This window comes from Homo sapiens, chromosome 19 (assembly GCF_000001405.40).
Source record: "Homo sapiens chromosome 19, GRCh38.p14 Primary Assembly".
In the NCBI taxonomy this organism is placed as follows: Eukaryota; Metazoa; Chordata; class Mammalia; order Primates; family Hominidae; genus Homo; species Homo sapiens.
The window spans coordinates 30,026,424-30,047,709 of record NC_000019.10 but is presented as its reverse complement, the minus strand read 5'-3'; the positions used below and the strand labels follow the sequence as shown (position 1 = coordinate 30,047,709).

The 21,286-nt window shown below is 38.4% G+C and overlaps 1 pseudogene, besides 3 other annotated features; it reads right to left on the bottom strand.

The window, feature by feature from the left end:
• Positions 1,106-1,185: an enhancer, noted in NCBI's record as "active region_14426". NCBI's record gives its function as "activates an Ori minimal core promoter by ATAC-STARR-seq in GM12878 lymphoblastoid cells {active_cell/tissue: GM12878}" and the evidence as "EXISTENCE:reporter gene assay evidence [ECO:0000049][PMID:35858748]".
• Positions 9,317-10,454, bottom strand: TAF9P3 (TATA-box binding protein associated factor 9 pseudogene 3; annotated as a pseudogene).
• Positions 16,793-17,292: an enhancer, noted in NCBI's record as "H3K4me1 hESC enhancer chr19:30521325-30521824 (GRCh37/hg19 assembly coordinates)". NCBI's record gives its function as "activates a minimal SCP1, AML or CMV promoter by ChIP-STARR-seq in naive H9 embryonic stem cells {active_cell/tissue: H9 hESC(naive)}" and the evidence as "EXISTENCE:reporter gene assay evidence [ECO:0000049][PMID:30033119]".
• Positions 17,358-17,407: an enhancer, noted in NCBI's record as "active region_14425". NCBI's record gives its function as "activates an Ori minimal core promoter by ATAC-STARR-seq in GM12878 lymphoblastoid cells {active_cell/tissue: GM12878}" and the evidence as "EXISTENCE:reporter gene assay evidence [ECO:0000049][PMID:35858748]".

The following is a 21,286-nucleotide window of genomic DNA, read 5'->3' as shown; positions in this document are numbered from 1 at the left end:
AGCAGCTCCAGAAGTCCAAGAGCCCAGTCATGGTTCACAGACAAGGAACTCATCGGTCATGCCTAGCGCTGGTGGTGTCCCCACCAAGAACACTGACGAAGACAACTTACATCCTGCTGAGAACTTGCGGTGATAAATACACAGGTCCAATGTGAGGCACTGAACATGTCTGTAATCATCTAGCAGAGGACGAGATCGGATGCCTTGTGTCTGGGTTTGTGACTTCTGCCTTGTAAATGGATAAACATTTCACATCTCCACGTAAGACTGAAACATGAACCCCTATCTTTTTTCACAGCAGACACAAACAAATACTACTTTTTTATCACTGCAAAGCACTTGATGTTAAGTTCATTAAAATGAAAGATTGGAGAGCCCCCAAATATAGGATAATATGATTCATGTATAGATCCCGGATAATAGATGTGGTTTCCATTATTTTCCTACTACATAAAGGACTAATTCTGCTGCTGCAGGAAGAGTGCTGCCTTTCTCTTCATGAGCCATTTTCATAAAACTGAATAAACAACAAACACAACCATGATTAGCTGTGACAGTTCCCCACTGATTTATTAGACTCAAATCCTAAGGAGAAGTCTAGTTTTAGGTCTGTCTCTGCACGTTTTTATCAAATAATAAAACTATAAAAATGAAATGATCCACTATCTTCAAAATAATAAAAAATAAAAGGTTCTGCAACTTAAAGAGATCTTCCTGTTACCAAGCAAGATGCAGGATTTGCATTTTTGGAACCCTGTCCCTTAAAAGTGAAGCAGCAGCGGAGAGGCCCTGCTGCCGGCATGCTTTTTAAGCCCAGCCTGAGTTCTCTATGCTTGAGAGCGTCTTATGATGCTGTAACTAACCTCAAACCTGGAGCAGCAGGGGGGCAACAAACCTCAGAATACAGCAATGTCATGCTTTACAGGAACTCTCTCAGCAACAGCATGAATGAGGGGGGAAATTGGTTGCCTAGGAAACCCTCTAGTCCTGGTAATTATTACTGTAACTGACTGCACACCCCACCTATAACAGAAATGAATAATAATTTATAATCGCTGACTGGCAGCTTTCTGTCTGTGCCTCTGCTCACCACTGCTACCTACTGGCATGCAAAATTAGTTACAAGCAAACAGCGGGGTATGCAGAGAAAAAAACCACCAGCAAAAAGAACATTTCAAGAAATCTTCTCCCATCTTCCCCCACCAGGTTCTGAATATAGTTCAAGTCAATTGCTGCTCGATCAATAGAGCAAAAATGAAAAGTGCTTTGTACAGGGGTTGAACAATGTAATGGAAGTTGGTCATCTCAATTAAAAGCAATTTCATATTGTGACATGAACTAGACCAAAAAGAAGGTGCTTAATAAGGTTAACAGACGCTAAATAACAGCATATATCTTAATGACCCCAAATATATGACTCACAAGCTATTTAATAGTATAGAATTTGATACTAAGCAAAATCACTATAAAAATCCTATCTGGTAGTTTTGATCAATTAAACTACACAATTAACAAAGATGGTCCATTTATCTTAGGTTGTCTAATTTGCAGTACAGTGTTAAAGCACTTCTACTGGAAGACTAGTTTGTTTAGAAATTAGAACATTCATAGTGATTTACCGGATTTGATTTAAAAGACATAGCAGGAGTTGGCAAAATTCACATATCATGGGGTTAATGTGGGTTAGAATGTAGCTATTTGTAATACAAAAATATTGCATACCAAATACACACATCTGATTTCTTTTAATCTTGGTTCGTCTTTTTGCAGAAGTCATTAGTTTGCTAAAATGAACAACAAAAACAGCTGCATTTGCCACTATTAGGACACAGAAATCTGCCATTTTTTAAATTTCCAAAGCAAGAGAATGCCACCTGGGTAATGAACCACGCCCAGGTTACCAGAAAGGTGTCGACTGACTGATGGTTTCCGCGGCTCCCGTCGTAAGGAAGGCTATGTCTACCATCATCATTGTATTCATCAGCTGCCATATATTCAGGCTCCACAACTTACTAGTGTGGCCTGGTCAGTACATTTCAAAGTTGAGAGAGCCTTTATAGTTCAAGAGGAAACAGCTGAAAATGGACAAATAGCCCCCAAAGGGTGCTGATGCCAAGTTAATGATCACCAAGATGAAGAGTATGAAGAATAATTATAGGGAAACCCTCAGCTCTTCCATGGGCAGTCCACACTTAACCCTGTGGAGCCCTCACGTCTTCCCGTGTTCCTGAGATTGGCTGGCGTGGAAGAATGTCCCTAGTCAATCTGATATTAACCATCAGGGAATCCCCCATCCCAAGCCCTCATCAGTTGATTCCATTGCAACATAAAATGTCATGTTCCAAAAATATTTCTGTTTTAAACACCCACTGTGGTAGTAATCATAGATTCATTGGTTGGGTTTTCTTCCCTTTCATCGTTATTGGAAACTGACCTCCTTACTTTTCAAAAAAATCAATAGATTTCCAGAAAACTTTCCAATTCTCAGAGATTTTTGCATAGTTCCAACATGGACAGCTTTTCCTACAGCGACTTTCTTATTAAGGAACCCACACAGACCAGATTTGGAGTGTGCAACAACCGCACAGAAGACACACACAGGTCTGAGTCCTGGCCGTGTGGAAAACCTGCACAGGTCACATTCGGCTCCGTGCTCTTAAGCACATTCAAGTTTCAAGCAAGTATTTGCAAACTTCACTTTTCTGAAGAGGTTCTGAGTGCTGCTCTTTGGTTGCACCTCAATTAGCTCCTAACAAGTGCTCCTTGAAAGATTTCCAGTAACTGTAAAAAAATTAAACTTACGTCTTTGTGACTACAGGTGGATCTAGCCTAGACACCGCTCTGTATCTTAGAATAGCCAAGTCTGCCCTAAGCCACAACATTTTTGTCTTTATTGCAATTCTTATCAGACTGAACCATTCCCTCTTTGCAAATACGATTCACCAACAAATCATCACTGACAGTCCATTCTTACCCTCAGTTTAGCTTCCAAGATCCCAAATAGACATTACCAAGAAAATCTTGGAGCCCAAGAAAATATCTGTAATCTCCAAAAATACATTTTACTGATAATAGGCTCTGAGTTCTTATTACTCGAACACGGCATAAATAAAACCCGTGTAGGTTTCAATTTCATCATCTCTGTCCCCAACACTCAAATTTTTTCCATCCTAGAAATCCACTTGATCCTTAACCCTACCTAGAGTACCTCCTCTGACGTGAAGCAGTTGCCAGTTTTCTTACCTCAAAGAAGATACTATGACTCCCAAGTTATAACTCTCAGTGTACAGCTCCTGGAACACTTCTGGTATTCTCCTTCGACCTATACACTTAACCTGCCTTCCCAATGAAGATCAGTTACTTGAAGGCCTTCTTAGCACAGTACCTTACAGTTTTCAATTGTAACTTAAGGCCAGGCACAGTGGCTCATGCCTGTAATCCCAGCACTCTGGGAGGCCAAGGCGGGTGGATCACCTAAGGTCAGGAGTTCAAGACCAGCCTGACCAACATGGTGAAACCCCGTCTCTACTAAAAATACAAAACTTAGCCAAGCATGATGGCGCACGCCTGTAATCCCAGCTACTACTCGGGAGGCTGAGGCAGAAGAATCACTTGAACCCGGGAGGCAGAGGTCGGCAGTGAGCCAAGATCGCGCCATTACACTCCAGCATGGGCAACAGAGTGAGACTTCGTCTCCAAAAAAATAAAAATAAAAATAAATTGTAACTTAAAATTACAGCTTTCTTTTTTATATGAAAGTTTCAATGGGACAAACTGAAGCTGGCCTTAAGTGTTCTGTTTCAAGCCATTATAAAGCAGAACAGCAGACCAAGGAATTGCTTAGGAACACTACAGACAGTGTACTCCACCAACTCTCCTGCTATAAATGCTGGATAAAATGTAATAAATATCTTCTCAAATACAGAGCCTTACTTGCATGAAAGTAACAGAAATCACCAGTGGCTAAAAATGAAGGAAAAGAAAAAGCTAAAACCACTGGCATCAAGTTAGAGCTGTCCTGGGACCTAGCCAAGAAATTTATGTTTTAAAAGCACCAGGAAATAAGCGGCAAGTCCTTGAGCTCGAACAAGATGGTAGAACTAAGATCATACATGAAGACCAGACCCCGGAAAGGCTGCCAGAATGCCAGAGTGAACGGCTGGACTAGAACAAATGTTCCCACTGTCAAAAACACGAACCACAGCAAGGAAACTTGTTCCTATCTGCCTGAGCTCTAGATAAGGGTGGAGTCTTGTATTAGTCTGTTTTCACGCTGCTGATAAAGACATACCTGAGACTAGGAAGAAAGGGATTTAATTGGACTTACAGTTCCACATGGCTGGGATGGCCTCAGAATCATGGTAGGAGGCAAAAGGCACTTCTTACATGGCAGCAGCAAGAGAAAATGAGGAAGAAGCAAAAGTGGAAACCCCTGATAAAACCATCAGATCTCATGAGACTTACACTCACTACCACAAGAACAGTCTGGGGGAAACAGTCCCCATGATTCAATCCCACCAGGTCCCTCCCACAACATGTGGGAGTTATGGAAATACAATTCAAGATGAGATTAAGGTGGGGACACAGAGCCAAACCATATCATTCTGCCCCTGGCCCCTCCAAATGTCAAGTCCTCACATTTCAAAACCAACCATGCCTTCCCAACAGTCCACCAAAGTCTTAACTCATTTCAGCATTAACCCAAAATCCACAGTCCAAAGTCTCATCTGAGACAAGGCAAGTCCCCTTCTGCCTATGAGCCTATAAAATCAAAAGCAAGCTAGGTACTTCCTAGATACAACGGGGGTACAAGTATTGGGTAAATACAGCTGTTCCAAATGAAAGAAATTGGCCAAAACAAAGGGGTTACGGGACCCATGCAAGTCCAAAATCTAGTGGGGCAATCAAATTTTAAAGTTTCAAAATGATCTCCTTTGACTTCATGTGTCACATCCAGGCCACACTGATGCCAAGAGGTGGGTTCCCATGGTCTTGAGCAGCTCCACCCCTGTGACTTTGCAGGGTACAGCCTCCCTTCTGGCTGCTTTCACAGGCTGGCATTGAGTGTCTGCAGCTTTTCCAGGCTCACAGTGCAGGCTATAGGTGGATCTACCATTCCGGGGTCTGGAGGATGGTGGCCCTCTTCTCCCAGCTCCACTAGGCAGTGCCCCAGTAGGGACTCTTTGTGGGGGCTCCCATCCCACAGTTCCCTTCTGCATTGCATAAGAGCCCCACCCCTGCAGCAAACTTCTGCCTGGGCATCCAGGCATTTCCATACATCTTCTGAAATCTAGGCAGAGGTTCCAAAACCCCAGTTCTTGACTTCTGTGCACCTGCAAGCTCACCACCACATGGAAGCTTCCAAGTCTTGGGGCTTGCACTCTCTGAAGCCACGGCCTAAGCACTATGTTGGCCCCTTTCAGCCACAGCTGGAGCAGCTAGGACACAGGACACCAAGTCCCTAGACTGCACATAGCACGGGGACTCTAGGTCCTCTCCACAAAACCATTTTTCCTCCTAGACCTCCGGATCTGTGATGGAAGAGGCTGCCACAAAGTTCTCTAACATGACCTGGAGACATTTTCCCCATTGTCTTGGGGATTAACATTCAACTCCTTGTTACTTATGCAAATATCTGCAGTCGGCTCGAATTTCTCCTCAGAAAATGGGATTTTCTTTTCTATCGCATTGTCAGGCTGCAAATTTTCCAAACTTTTATGCTCTGCTTCCCTTTTAAAACTGAATGCCTTTAATGGCAGCCAAGTCACCTCTTGAATGCTTTTCTGCCTAGAAATTTCTTCTGCCAGATACGCTAAATCATCTCTCTGAAGTCAAAGTTCCACAAATCTCTAGGGCAGGGGCAAAATGCCACCAGACTCTTACACTAAAACATAACAAGAGTCGCCTTTGCTCCAGTTCCCAAGTTCTTCATCTCCATCTGAGACCACGTCAGCCTGGATTTCATTGTCCACACCTTTATCAGTATTTTTGTCAAAGCCATTCAACAATTCTCTAGGAAGTTCCAAACCTTCCCACATTTTCCTGTCTTCTTCTGAGCCCTCCAAACTCTGCCTGTTACCCAGTTCCAAAGTTGCCTCCACATTTTTGGGTATCTTTTCAGCAACACTCCACTCTACTGGTACCAATTTACTGTATCAGTCCATTTTTACACTGCTAATAATGACATACCCAAGACTGGGAAGAAAAAAGAGGTTTAATTTGACTTACAGTTCCACATGGCTGGGGAGACCTCAGAATCATGGCAGGAGGTGAAAGGCTTTTTTTTTTTGAGACAGAGTCTTGCTCTGTAGCACAGGCTGGAATGCAGTGGTGTGATCTCAGCTCACTGCAACCTCCACCTCCTGGGTCCTGGTTCAAGCAATTCTCCTGCCTCAGCCTCCTGAGTAGCTGGGATTGCAGGAATGCACCACCCTGCCCAGCTAGTTTTTATATTTTTCGTAGAGACAGGGTTTCACCATGTTGGCCAGGCTGGTCTTGAACTCCTGACCTTGTGATCTGCCCACCTCAGCCTCCCAAAGTGCTGGGATTACAGGTGTGAGCCAATGCACCCGGCCAAAAGGCACTTCTTACATGGTGGCGGCAAGAGAAAATGAGGAAGAAGCAAAAGTGGAAACCCCTGATAAAACCATCAGATCTCATGAGACACACTACCACAAAACAGTATGGGGGAAACAGTCCCCATGATTCAAATTATCTCCCACCAGGTCCCTCCCTCAACACGTGGGAATTATGGGAGTACAATTCAAGATGAGATTTAGGTGGGGACACAGAGCCAAACCATATCAAGTCTCCCTTGGGAATGCTAGCTGTGAGTTGGCCTTCATGTAGGTCAAGATCAGAGGAACTGCAAGCTATGAAATTAACTGAGAAACTGCAAGCAAGGAACTCAAGAAGAGGTCCTGCCAAGGACTTCTGACTCTAGTGTTGAAGGATTCAGGGCTACAGAATTTGCTCTTCTGCCATAAACAGCTAGAAAACTGAAAACAAGTGTTTTCAGACACTAGGACCAAGAAATATAAGACTAAGATTCCTAAGTAAATGAGGTAAGTCCTATAATCACTCTTTGTCTTGAGAGGTTTGTTGGACCACAGCACAGAGAGAAGGAATCCAAGCAAAATAAGACTGGTCTTATAGTGGAGAAACCAAACAGGTACCAACTCAACAAAGTAATCAAGATTAACGCAGTGATATTATGTGCAGAGAAAGACACCTCACATCTATGGTATTCTCTTGAAAACTCACAACCTCAGGCTAATTGTAAGAAAACACTGGGCAAACTCAAATTGAGGAATATTCTGTAAAACACCCACAGGCCAATACTCTTCAAAAGTACAAGGTCATGAAAAAGAAAAAATTGAGAAATTGTCAGATAGGATGAGACTAAGAAGACATGACCACAAAATACAACAGGTATCTTGGAATGAATCCTGGAAAAGAAAAAGAACATTGGTAGAAAAACTAGTAACATTTCAATAAAGTCTATACTTTAGTAAATAGTATTGCCTTGTGCTAATTTCTTAGTTCTGACACATGTACCTTGGTAATGTAGTGTGTTCACATTAGAGGACACTAAAACTGGGTGAGGAACGTATGAGAACTCTCTGCATTATCTTTAAACTTTTCCGTAAATCTAGGTTTATTCCAAAATAAAAAGATTAACAAAAATTCTGGCATCAAATTAAAAATTACTAAACATGAAAATAGGATCCAAATTATGACCCACAGCCAGGTAGGAATAGACACAAAAATGACAGAAATGATAGAATGAGCAGATGAGGACTTTAAAACAGCTATTATAAATATGCTTCAAAATTTAAAGAAAATCATTAACATAATAAAGAGAAATTAAAAATCTTATTTAAAAAATGGAAATCCTAGAGGTATACAGGTATATTCCTGTAGGCATGTTCAAATATAATATCTGAAACAAAAAATTTACTGGATGTGTGCAAGAGTAAATCAGACATTACAAAAAAATAAAAATAAAAATTTAGTGAACATGAAGATATATCAATAAAAATTAACCATAATTAAACACAGAAAGAAAAAGGACTACACAAAAATGAACCAAGCCTCGGTGACCTTATGGAACAATAAAAGCTATATAATAGGCTGGGGATGGTGGCTCACACCTGTAATCCCAGCACTTTGGGAGGCCAAGGCAGGCAGATCACCTGAGGTCAAGAGTTTGAGACCAGCCTGGCGAACATGGCAAAACCCCATCTCTACTAAAAGTACAAAAAAATTAGCCAGGCATGGTGGCAGGCATCTGTAATCCCAGCTACTCGGGAGGCTGAGGCAGGAGAATCGCTAGAATCCTGGGGGCAGAGGTTGCAGTAAGCCAAGATCTCACCACTGTACTCCAGCCTGGGTGACAGAACGAGACTCGCTCTCAAAAAAAAAAAAAGAAAAAAAACTATACAATATAAATGTAATTGGTGTTCCAGAAACAGGAGAAAAAGAGATTGGGGCCCAAGCAAAATTGGAAAAAATATGGCCAAAATATTTCCACATTTGATGAAAACTCTAAATCTGCAGATCCAAGATACTCAACAGGCCCTGACAAGACCAAACACAAAGAATATACCTATGCATATCATAATTAGATTGCCAGAGGAAAATGCATACTACCTACAGTGGAACTGAAATAAGACTAATAAAAGATAACACAGCACCACGAAGTGCAAAAGACAAGGGAAAACATCTTCAAAGTGCTAGAGAAGAAAACCAGGTCATGCATGGTGGGGCTCATGCCTATAATCCCAGCATTTTGGGAGGCCAAGGCAGGAGGATGGAACACTTGAGCCCAGGTGTTCAAGACCAGCCTAGACAACATTGTGAGACCCCGTCTCTACATGAAATTTAAAAATTAGCTGGACCTGGTGACATGTGTCTGTAGTCCCAGGTACTCAGGAGACTGAGGCAGGAAGACTGCTTGAGCCCAAGGGTTGCAGTGAGCTATGATCCATGCTGTTGCATTCCAGCTTGAGTGACAGAGCGAGACCTCGTCTCAAAAGAAAGAAAGAGAGAGAGAGACAGAAAGAAAGAAAGAAAGAAAGAAAGAAAGAAAAGCAAGCAAGCAAGCAAGCAAGCAAGCAAGCAAGAAAGCGAGCGAGTGAGCGGAGGGGAGGGGAGAAGGGAGGGAGGGAGGGAGGGAGGGAGGAAAATAACCTGTCAACTTGGGATTCTATACCTAGCAAAAATATCTTTCAAATATAAAGGCAAAATAATATTATTTCAGAGAAAAGTTGAAAGAACTTGATCTAGCACACCAACATTTAAAACATTATTTTTTTCAAATTAATGACAACTTGATTTTTCTTACACTTTTAAGGCTGATGAAAAACCTTCATTTCAATTGAAAAGTATGGTAATTGTATTTACTCATTAAATATGAAAGTTTTCTAAAATACAACTTGAAAACATCCAGCACGCATGTTTAGTATCAGTACAATGAATTCAAGACCAAGTATACATGTTACATGCAGCAAGGCTAAATTACAAATTATCATAATCATCTTCTTCACGCTTTTTCAATGCATTTGATGATTCATTGGCAGTATTTTGTGATAACACCGTATTAGTGGTAATAAGAAGCTTTTGGACCCAATTAATGATGGATTAATCAGAACATTCTGAACTGCTGATGTTGCAGGAATTGAAGATTTTACAGCTGGAGACTGTGAAGTAGGCATCTGTACTGTAAACCTTTGCCCTGTGAGGGACACGGGAGTCCCTACTTTAGTTGAAACAGACATGGTCTGTGGGGTTGGTGTGCCTAGTGTGGGAGTACTTGGTCTGCTAGCAACTGAACCAACACTTAACTGCGGGACTGTTACTCTTCCCGTGGAAGTTGATGCCTTTTTCTGTAAAGATTTCAGCCTATAATTTGGAGCTGTTAAGCAATATCTATCAGGTGGCAATCTAGGACCTGAATATGGCTTGATTAATGGAAAAGGGGTTTGATTTCTTTGCCTTGCGATATCTAATAAAAAAATCTCTTGGGGGAAGAGAGGTAAAAGACTGGTCAGCGTGGAACTGGATTGCCAACTGCACATCATCTGCATCAACGGTAGCTTTCTTAGCATGGCTGGAGTAAATTTTTGCATCATCTAGAATTGTGGTCACATAACGGAAGGCAAACTCTAACATCTGATTTATAAGTCTTGGCTCATATTCTGTAATTCCCAGATCCTTCAGGATTTGTGCCATCATCTGTGCATCTTTCGGCATGCTCTTGGGAGAAGCCATCTTGCCAGACTCCATGATATACGATGATCAGACTTCTTGAGCTAAATCACCCACATTAATGTATTTCAGTCCTGATTTTGACACAAGTCCTTTGCCTAGTGTGGTTTTTCCAACCCCTGGTGTACTGGTGAGCAGGATGCTTGGAAGCAACATGGTCCTCCCCACGACGGCTCTGAGCGCCTTGCTCACCCGCCCTTCACATTACGGGAAGGACCATTTAAAACGTGATTAAAGCAAGTTCTACAGGCTGGAGGAAAAGAAAACCAGGTGGCAACTTCAATGTACAGAAAATAATGAAGAGCACTCAACATGGTAAATTCACAGGTAGACAATTTAACATTTAAAGAAAAAGTTTCAAAGGTAATTGAGAGGAATGACAAAGTGAGGACCTTTGTAAATACTTTCCCTAAAAAGCAAAGATAAAGTTGGACTATTAGTTTCTGGCCTGGCATACAAGCTTGGACGTTGTCACTACATCCTAATAAGTAAACAGCTAAACAAACTGAAAAATCAATTCTTAGTTAAGAACAGTGAAGCCACAGGGCAAACTATCATGGCCCCTGAAATTGGAGTGACCGGCAGGCAAAGGCAGAGAAGCACAAGTAACTGGAGCCGAGACCCTCAGACAGAGGCCTCCAGGGAAAACTGACAGGCTAGGGAAACCTGAACTGTAATTAACTTAACTGCACAGTGTGGACAAGTCTTGAGTTGAAAATTCCAGGGGGACTCAGTCATTCCCCGGCACACATACTTTTGTGAGTTTTACCTCCAGGAGCTCTACCAGGTTCTCAAAGCAAGTATCTGAGAACTATCCCCCTGTGTTTGCAGCAGGGGAAAAGGAAAAGGAACCATTTAAAAACATGCCAAAACACTCTGTTCTTCTTAACAAGGTTTGCCCGCAGGAGAAACTATTTAACCGGAAGATAAACTGCTGGGGTTTTATCAGGGCCAAACTGACCTAGGGGAAGGGAAATAACCTCAGGCAGCTCCTGCCTTCCATGTGGGAGAAGAGAAATACCAAACACCAGCTCCCTCTAGTCATCGTGTCTTCAGTAAGGCTGATGGGGGAAATGAGAAGCACATGTGATGTACACAGTCTAGAGGCACAGGCTCACTCAAAGACTAAGACCTGATCACAGGACTATAGAACTCTAAAGAAATCCACATTACTAAGGGCCTATTTACAGCCTTTCCTCTTACTCAGGAACGTGCCCAGCTGTTAAGGAAAAATCACCAGGCATACTGAAAGGCAAAAAAGGTCATTTGAGAGATAGAGCAAGCATCAGAACAAGACAGATATAGCAAGGATGTTGACATGATCAGACCAGGAATTTAAAACAGCTATGATTAATATACTAAAGGCTCTAATGAATAAACTAGATGGATGCAAACACAAGTGGGCAATGTAAGCAGAGAGATGGAAATTCTAAAAAGTACCAAAAAGAAAGGCTAGAGATCAAAAACACTGCAGGAGAAATGAAGAATGCTTTGATGGGCTCATTAGCAGACTGAATAAAGCTAGGAATCTCTGAGCTTGAGGATATCTCAACAGAAACCTCCAAACTGAAAAGGAAACAGAGAGAGAGAAAAAAAAAAAAGGCTGCAAACTCCAGAACAGAATATCCAGGAACTGCAAGACACCTACAAAGGGGGTAGCATATGCAAAATGGGAAAATCAGTAGAAGAAAAAAAAAAAGGAACCGAAGAAATATCAGAAACAGTAACAACTAAGAATTTCCCCAAAATTATTATAAGACACCAAATACAGATCCAGGAAGCTCAGAGAACACTAAGCAGGATAAACATTCCACCTAGGCATCATCATTTTCAAACTATAAGAATTCATAAAGAAAAATCCTGAAAGAAACCAGAGGGAAAAAAACACATTACCTATAGAGAAGCAAAAGAAAGAATTATACCCAACTTCTTAGAAAGCATGCAAGTAAGAAGAGTGGAGTGAAATATTTAAAGCACCAAGAGAAAAGAACTATCAACCTAGAATTCTATATCCTGAGAAATAGCCTTCGAAAATAAAGGAGAGAGGCCAGGTGCAGTGGCTTACACCCGAAATCCCAGCACTTTGGGAGGCCAAGGTGGGAGGATCGCTGAAGTCCAGGAATTCAGACTGCCATGAGCCATGATCATGGCACTGCACTCCAGAAGTGTTAAAGGAGTTCTTTAGATAGAAGGAAAATCATATAGTTCAGAAATTCGGATCTTCATAAAGAGCATAAGGAAGAGGTAAACGTAAAACAGAAACTTAGTTTCTTATTCTTACCTATTTAACAGATAACAATTTGTTCCAAATAATAGTACCAACAATGCATTTGATTTTGTATACCTATGTACATATACATGTTTATGTATACTGATGTGTTAGTCAAATAAATAACAGCAACAATACAAGGAACAGCAGAGAGGAGGAATAAGGATTGTTGTAAGGCATTTGCATTACCCATGAAATGGTATAGTATCATCATTTCAAAGTGGACTTGGATTAGCTGTAGATGTTCCGAACTCCAGGGCAACTACTAAAAAGATGCTTTTAAAAAGTATAACTGATATGCTAAGTAGAGAAAACGGAATCATAAAAAATGCTCAATTAAAATCAAAAGGGGTATTTAACAGGCAAGGGATCGATAAGAGAAAAGAAACAAACAAAAAAACCCAAACAGCAGAAAAAGAGTGGAAGACAAAAACAGGAAAAAGAACAAGGGCAACAAATATAAAAACAGTAAAAATATGGTAGATGTCAATCCAACGATATCAATAATCATTTTAAATGCCAATGGTTTAAAAGTACCAATTAAAAGACAAATAAATTGTCAGAATGAACCAAAAAATAAGACCCAACTATACACTGTCTACAAAAACCTTAAAGACACATATAAATTGAAAGTAAATGGATGGAGAAAGATATACCATGCTAACATTAATCAAAAGAAAGTGAGAGTCATTATATTCACTTCAGATAGAGCAGACTTCAGATTAAGGAAAGTTATCAGGAAAAAAAAGGAGCATTCTACAGTTACATAGGGGTCAATTTTCCAAGAAGACATAGCAATCCTTAATGTGTATGCATCTAAAAACAGAGCATCAAACTACATAAGAAAAAACTGACAGAACTGGAAGGAGAAACAGATGAATTCACTATTATACCTAGAAACTTCAGTACCCATCTATCAGAAATGGGCAGATCCAGCAGTCAAAAGATCAGTTAAGGACACAGCTGAACTCATTAACACCATTTACTAACTTGATATAATGGTTATCTACAGACTACTTCATTCAATAACAGCAGAATACATAATTTTTTCCAAGCTAATATGGAACATTAACCAAGACAAATCACACTTGGGGTCATAAAACACACCTTAACAAATTTAAAATAGCAATTATACAGTGTCTGCTCTCACATCACAATTGAATTAAACTAGAAATCAATAACAAATATAGCTGGAAAATCTCCCAAATACTTGGAGATTAAACAACACACTTCTAAGTAACACATGGATCAAAGAAAGTCTCAAAAGAAATTTTAAAATATTTTGAACAAAAATAAAAAATACAACTTATCAAAATTTGTGGGATGCAGTGAAAACAGTGCTTAAAGGAAAATTTTTAACACTGAATGCATATATCAGAAAAGAGAGATCTAAAATTAATCATCTAAGCCTTCACCTTATAAGAATAGAAAAAGGAGAGGAAATTAATTCCAAAGTAAGGAGAAGAATAAAAATTTAAAGCAGAAATCAATGAAATTGAAAACATAAAATCAGTAGAGAAAATCAACCAAACCAAAAGCTGGTTCTTAGATAAATAAAATCAGTAAGACAAGCTAACTAAGAAAAAAGAGAGAGGACACAAATTGCTGATTTCAGAAATAAAAAAAGAGAATGTCATTACAGATCCCAGGGAGATTAAAAGGATAACCAAGAAATACTATGAACACGTCTATGCACACAAATATGGTACTCCTAGAAAAAATGGACCAATTCCTTGAAGAGCACAATCTACCAAAACTCACACGAGAAGAAACAGACAATCGGAATAAGACTATCTCTATTAAATAATTAATAACTTTCCAAAACACAAAGCGCAGGCCCAGACAGATACACTTATGAATTCTATGAAACATTTAAGGAAAAAAAAAAAATACACCAATTCTCTCCTATCTCTTTCAGATGATAGAAGCACAGGGAGTACTCCCTACTTCTATGAGTTCAGCATTACCATATGAAAATCAGGCAAAGACATTACAAGAAACTACAGACAAATATTGCTAATAAACACAGATGCAAAACTCAAGAAAATATTATTAAACTGAATCCAAAAATGTATGCAAAGGATTATATTATACACCATGACCAAGTGAGATTTATTCTAGGTATGCAAGGGTGGTTCAACATTTGAAAATCAATGTAATCTATCACATCAACAAGGTAAAGAAGAAAAAAATCACATGATCACATCAATAGATGAAGAAAAAGCATTTGGCAAAATCCAACACCTGCTAATAATAAAAACTCACAGTAAACTAGGAATAGGGTGAAGTTCCTCAATTTAATTTTTAAAAATCTACAAAAACCCACGCTAACATCATACTTAATGGTGAGAAACTTGAAGCCTTCCCACTAATCAGGAACAAGGCAAGGATATCCCCTCTCACCACTCCTTTTCAACTTCATATTGCAAGTCCTTGATAATACAGAAAAAGAGATAAAAGGTATACACATTTGGAAGGAGGAAGCCAAACTGTCTTTGTACATAGATGACAGTCATCTTTGTAGAAAACTGGAAAGAATCAACCAAAAAAGAAAACCTCCTGAAACTTATAAGTGATTATAGCAAGGTTACAATGGTCAATCACTTCCCTATACACCAGCAGTGAACAAGTGGAATTTGAAATTATAAACACAATACCATCTACAGTAGCACCCTCAAAATGAAATACTTAGGTTTAAATCTAATAAGTTATGTACAAGACTTATATACAAAACTCTGACAAATGAAATCAAAGAACTAAATCAATGGAGAGGTACTCCATGTTCATGGACAGGAAGATTCAACTGTCAAGATATCAGTTCTTTCCAACTTGATCTATAGATTCAATGCAATCCCATTCATAATCCCAGCAAATTATTTTGTAGATACCAATAAACTGATTCTAAAGTTTACATGGAGAGGTAAAAGACCCAGAATACCCAACACAATATGGGAGGAGAACAAAGTTAACTGACATTTTCAGACTTCAAGACTTACTACAAAGCTACAGCAATCGAGACAGTATGGTATTGATAAGAGAGAAACAGGTCAATGAAATGAAACAGACAGCTCAGAAACAGAGCTACATAAATACAGTCAACTGATCTTTGGCAAAGGAGGAACGGCAATGGAATGGAGCAGAAAGTCTGCAACAAATAGTGCTGGAGCAACCTGACATCATATGCAAAACAAATCTAGACACAGACCATACACCCTTCACAAAAACTAACTCAAAACTGGTCACAGACCTAAATATAAAATGCAAAACTACAAAACTCTAGAATATAGGAGAAAAATCTAGATGACTTTGGATTTAGCAATGGCCTTTTAGATATGACAGCAAAGGCATGATTCATGAAAGAATAAACTGATAAGCTGGACTTCATTAAAATTTCTGCTGTGTGAAAGACACTGTCAAGAGAATATAAAGACAAACCACAGACTGGGAGAAAATATTTGCAAAAGGCATTTCTGACAAAGGATTGTTATCTGAAATACACAAATAAGTATTAAATTGAACACAATAAGAAAACAACCTGACTAAAAAAGGGGCCAAAGTCCTTAACAGACACCTCACCAGAAGACACACAGATGGCAAATAAGCATCTGAAAAGATGATCCATATCATGTTTTATCAGGTAAATGCTAATTAAAATGACAATGAGTTACCACTACACACCTATTAGAATAGCCAAAATCCAGAACAGTGACACCACCAAATATTGGCTAGAATGTGGAGCAACAGGAACTTTCATTCATTGCTGGTGGGAATGCAAAATAGTACAGCTAGATTGGAAGACGGTTTGGCAGTTTCTTACAAAACATAGTCTTACCATATGATCTGTCAATCATACCACTTGGTATTTACCCAAAGAAGCTGAAAACGTATGTCCACACAAAAAGCCACACACTGATGTTTATAGCAGTTTTACTTGTACTTGCCAAAACTTGAAAGCAACCAAGATGTCCTTCAGTAGGTGAATGGATGAACTGCGGTACATCCCGACAATGGAATATTATTTTCAGATCTATCAAACCATGAAAAGACATTATGGAAACTCAAAGGAGAACGAAGCCAATCTTAAAAAGCTAAACATTATGTGATTCCGACTACATGACATCCCAGAGAAAGCAAAACTATGGAGACAATTTTAAAAATCAGTGATTACCAGGTATTGGGGCATAGGGACGGATGAATAGGCACAGCACAGAGGATTTTTAGGGCAGTGAGACTACTCAGCAACTATAATGGTGGATATGTGTTCTTATATATTTATCCAAAGCAACTGAATGTCCACCAAGAGTGAATTCTAATACAAACTATCAACTTCGGGTGATGATGTGGCAATGGATATTCAACTACTGTGGCAATGGATATTCAACTATTGTAACAAATGTATCACTCTGGTGGGGATGTTGATGATAGGGGAGGCTATGCAGGTGTGGGAGCATGGGATATATGGAAAATCTCTGTACCTTCTGCTCAGTACTGCTGTGAATCTAAAATTGCTCTTAAAAAACAGACTTTTAAAAAAATTAGACAAAATTATCAAAAACAACTACTTTTCACCTCTGAGTATTGACCAAAACATAGGACAAATGGAGAAGTGTTTATTCAAGAAAACTACTGAAAGTTGGGTAAAAATGATGACAGTATGTGGCATTGTGACCACTCTCCCTCACCCCAGCTCCTTCAGACAATAGTTCTAACAGGGTGGGACAGCTTGTAAAACCAGAAGCATTTATACTGTAGGGAGCTGACTCAATCTGAAACAACGTGGAAAAACCCAACGCCCAGGGGCTTTGTTAAATATAGCAATTTCAGTGCCAAACATAGGAGAGGTCCACATACATCATAGATGACCTGAAGCTGAAATACTATAGCTGGGCCAAAAAAGAGATCAGAAGAAAAAAATTTTCTGCCTGGAGATTTAACAGAAACAATCAGGAAGTGAGACAATCATAGTCCTTGATAAGCTTACATTTTGAAAGGTAATGGGCATATTAGGGTATGAACATGCTGAGAGACCAGAGAAGGCTCTAACTATATACATACCCCCAGGGAAGACTCGTAAACTGCATAAATTTTCAGTGTGTTCCTCAAACAAAACAGAGACTTTGACAAAGGATGAAAGTCTTACCAAAACAAGATGCCTAAGTACAATCTCTGACCAGTCACCAGCTGATCACTAAGATATATTGATCCAAGGTGACCCATAAGTAGTCAAACATAACTGAGGAGAGACATCAGAGGCCACACGCTGTAGAGAAAAACTCATTATTAATCTTGGCCAAGTCATAAAACAAACAAAAAAAGGGACAATAACCCCTGGCAGGAGAGTATCAGAAATAAATGCTGTTACAATGTATTATTTAAAATGTCCAGTTTTAAACAGGAAAGTATGGCTTATCTAGTATAAAAAAAAAAATACTCAGTATAAACAGAAGCTATTTCCAAGGGTTCCCAAATGTTGGACTTAACAGACAGACTTCAAAGCAGCCAATAAAAATACATCTTCAAAGAACAAAAGAAAACCGTGTTTAATCAAAGCATGAAAACAATGACTAATCAGAGAACACTTAATAAAGAGATCAACATTTTTTAAAAAATGGAAATTCTGGAGTTGAAAAGTAACTAAAGTGAAAGCTTCATTAGAGGGACAACAGCAAACTTGAATGCAGAAGGAAGAATCAGTGAACTCAAAGATAAATCAATACAAATTACACAATCTGAAGAACAGAAGTGAGAATGAAAAATGAACCAAGTAGGAAATCTGTGGGTTACAATCAATACCAACATATGCATAATGGGAATCCCAGAAGAAAAGAATAGTGAGGGCCATACAAGTTTTGACATCTTTTGAAGAGTCATAGAAGTTTTTAATGTCTGAAAACATTCCAAATTTAGTAAGAAGTATAAATCTGTATATCCAAGTATCTCAATAAAATCCAAGTAGAATAAACATTAAAATATCCACACCGATACACATCAAAATCTTGAAAGCAGCAAGAGAAAAATGGACTTATCATGCACAGGGGAACCCCAGTAAAATTAGCAGCTGACTTCTCAAAAGAAACAATGAAGGCCAGAATTAAGTGGTATAACATACTCTACTGTCAAACAAGAATTCTAAATCCAGTAAAACTATCCTTCAAAAAAGAGGACAAAAATAAAGATCTTCCCAGATAGACAAAGAGAATTTGTTGCCACCAAAATTTTTTTTACAAGATATGCTAAAGCAAGTACTTCAGGCTGAAAGGAAACACCACCAGATGGTAACTTGAATCCACATAAAAAATTAAAGTACCAGTAAAAGTAATTATGTAGGCAAATGTAAAAAATAGAAAAAATACTCTTTTTAAGTTTTCTTCTCTTACTTAAAAGATAATTGCATGGAAAAATAATGAACCCATATAGTTATAAATAATAAACCTGTACTGTTATAAAATATATTACAATAATAGGACAAAGGAAAAAGAGACTAGAGCTATGCTGAAGCAAAGTCTGCCAGAATTAAGTTAGTATTATTCTGACGCAGGTTATAATGTTACAATGCATCCTATAAACTCTAGAGCAACCACTATAAAATAACTCATAAAAAAGAGTAAAGCTCTCTTCTACTATGTGAGGACACAGGAGGCCATCTGCAGCCCAGGAAGAGAGCCCTCGGCAGGAACCAAATCAGCTGCTAACCTTGACTTCCCAGTTTCCACAAATGTAAGAAATAAATTTGTGGGTTTAAAAAAAAAAAAAGTACAGTTTCTTTTTGTAAAGGAATTCAAAGTTTATACTAAAAGATTTATTTAACATACACAAAAAAAGGTAACCAAGGAGGAACAGAGGAACAAAAAAGACATGACATATAAAAAATGACTAACAAAATGGCATGAGCTATTGATATGTAAATGAGCCATATCAACAATTACATGAATTAACACACATTTCAATAAAAAGACAGGCTGGCAAAATAGACTTTTTAAAAACAAAATTCAACCACATGCTGCCCACAAGATACAAATGCTAAAAAGGATGAAAAAAGAGATACCACATAAGCATAACCATAACCAAGGTGGAGTGGTCATAATCATATCAGACAAAACTGACATAGGCTTTAAAATTAAAATGTTACTAGAGAAAAAAGGGACATTTTGTAATAATAAAAGCTTCAATTAATCAGAAGATATGACAATGACAAACATATATGTACCTAACAACAGAGAAAAAAATGCATGAAACAAAAACTAACAGAACTTGAAAGGTAGGACTATTTAACAATAATAGTGTAAGGCCTCAGTATCCCACTCTCAATAACGGATAGCACAAGTAGACAAAAAATCAGCAAGAATACAGAAGACAACAATAACAATGACCTTGACATGACATCAACAGAACACTCCATAAAACAACAGAATACGTATTCTTTTGAAGCACACACAGGAGAACATATGCTACCCATTTTTAAAAAGTCCTAATGAATTTTTAAAAACTAAAGACATAATAAATGTTTTCTCCAGACACAACACAATTAAAGCAGGAACCAACAGAAAGAAACTTGAGAAACCCACTAATATTTGGAAATTAAACAATACATATTACAGTAACCCATGAGTCAAAAAAGACATCTCAAGAGAAATTAGAAAATATTTTTAACTACAGAAAAATTAAAACAAATCAAATGTCACTGGATGCAGCTAAGGGTTAGTGCCTAGAGGTCAATTTATATCTTTAAACACCTACATTAGAAGACAGTAGTCTCAAATCAATAGATTAACACCTTTAAAAACTATAAAAGGCAAGGAAGAAGAAAGGAAATAATAAAGATTAAAGTAAAAGTCACTGGAATAGAAAACTAGAGGAAAATCAACAAAATCAAAAAGTTTCTCTGAAAAGGTCAATAAAACTGACAGACCTATAGTTAGAATTACAAAAAATATAGGACAAAAATTAGCAAAATCAGAAGGAAATCACAGGCCAGGCACGGTGCCTCACACATGCAATACCAGCACTTTGGGAGGCCAAGGCAGGAGGATCACTTGAGCCTAGGAGTTTGAAACCAGCCTGGACAACATAGTGAGACCCTGTCTCTACAAAAAAAGTAAAATAAAAAGGAAATTGCTGCCAACTTAAGAAATTAAATGGATTATAAAGGAATACTTTGGACAACTTTATGATGACAAATGCAATAATTTACATGAAATGGACAAATTCCTACAAAGAGTCAAATTATCAAATGGACTCAAGAAGAAATATAAAACTTAAATAGACTTAAAATAAGAACTTTAATAGCAATTACAAATCTTCACACAAAGAAAACTGCAGGCCCAATGGTTTCACTGATGAATTCTATCAAACATTTAAAGAAGAAATAGTACTAGTCCTTCACAAATTCATCCAGAAGAGTATACTTCCCATCTGATTTTGTGAGGTCAATATTATCCTTATATAAAAACCAAACAAAGACATCACAAAAATAGAACATGACAGATCAATATCCCTCATGAATATATACACAAATATTCTCAACAAAACATCAGCAAACCAAATTCAGTAACATATAAAAAGGATCACGCACATTAAAAATGGGCTTTATCCCAGGAATGCAGGATTGGTTTAATCAGAAAATTAATTTAATCAGAAAATTTAATCAGAAAATTAATGTATTATACTAAAGAAGGAACAAGGGCTGCATAAAAAGCGTCTGAAAAATTCAACTCCATTCATGAAAGAAAACTCCAACAAACCTACGAA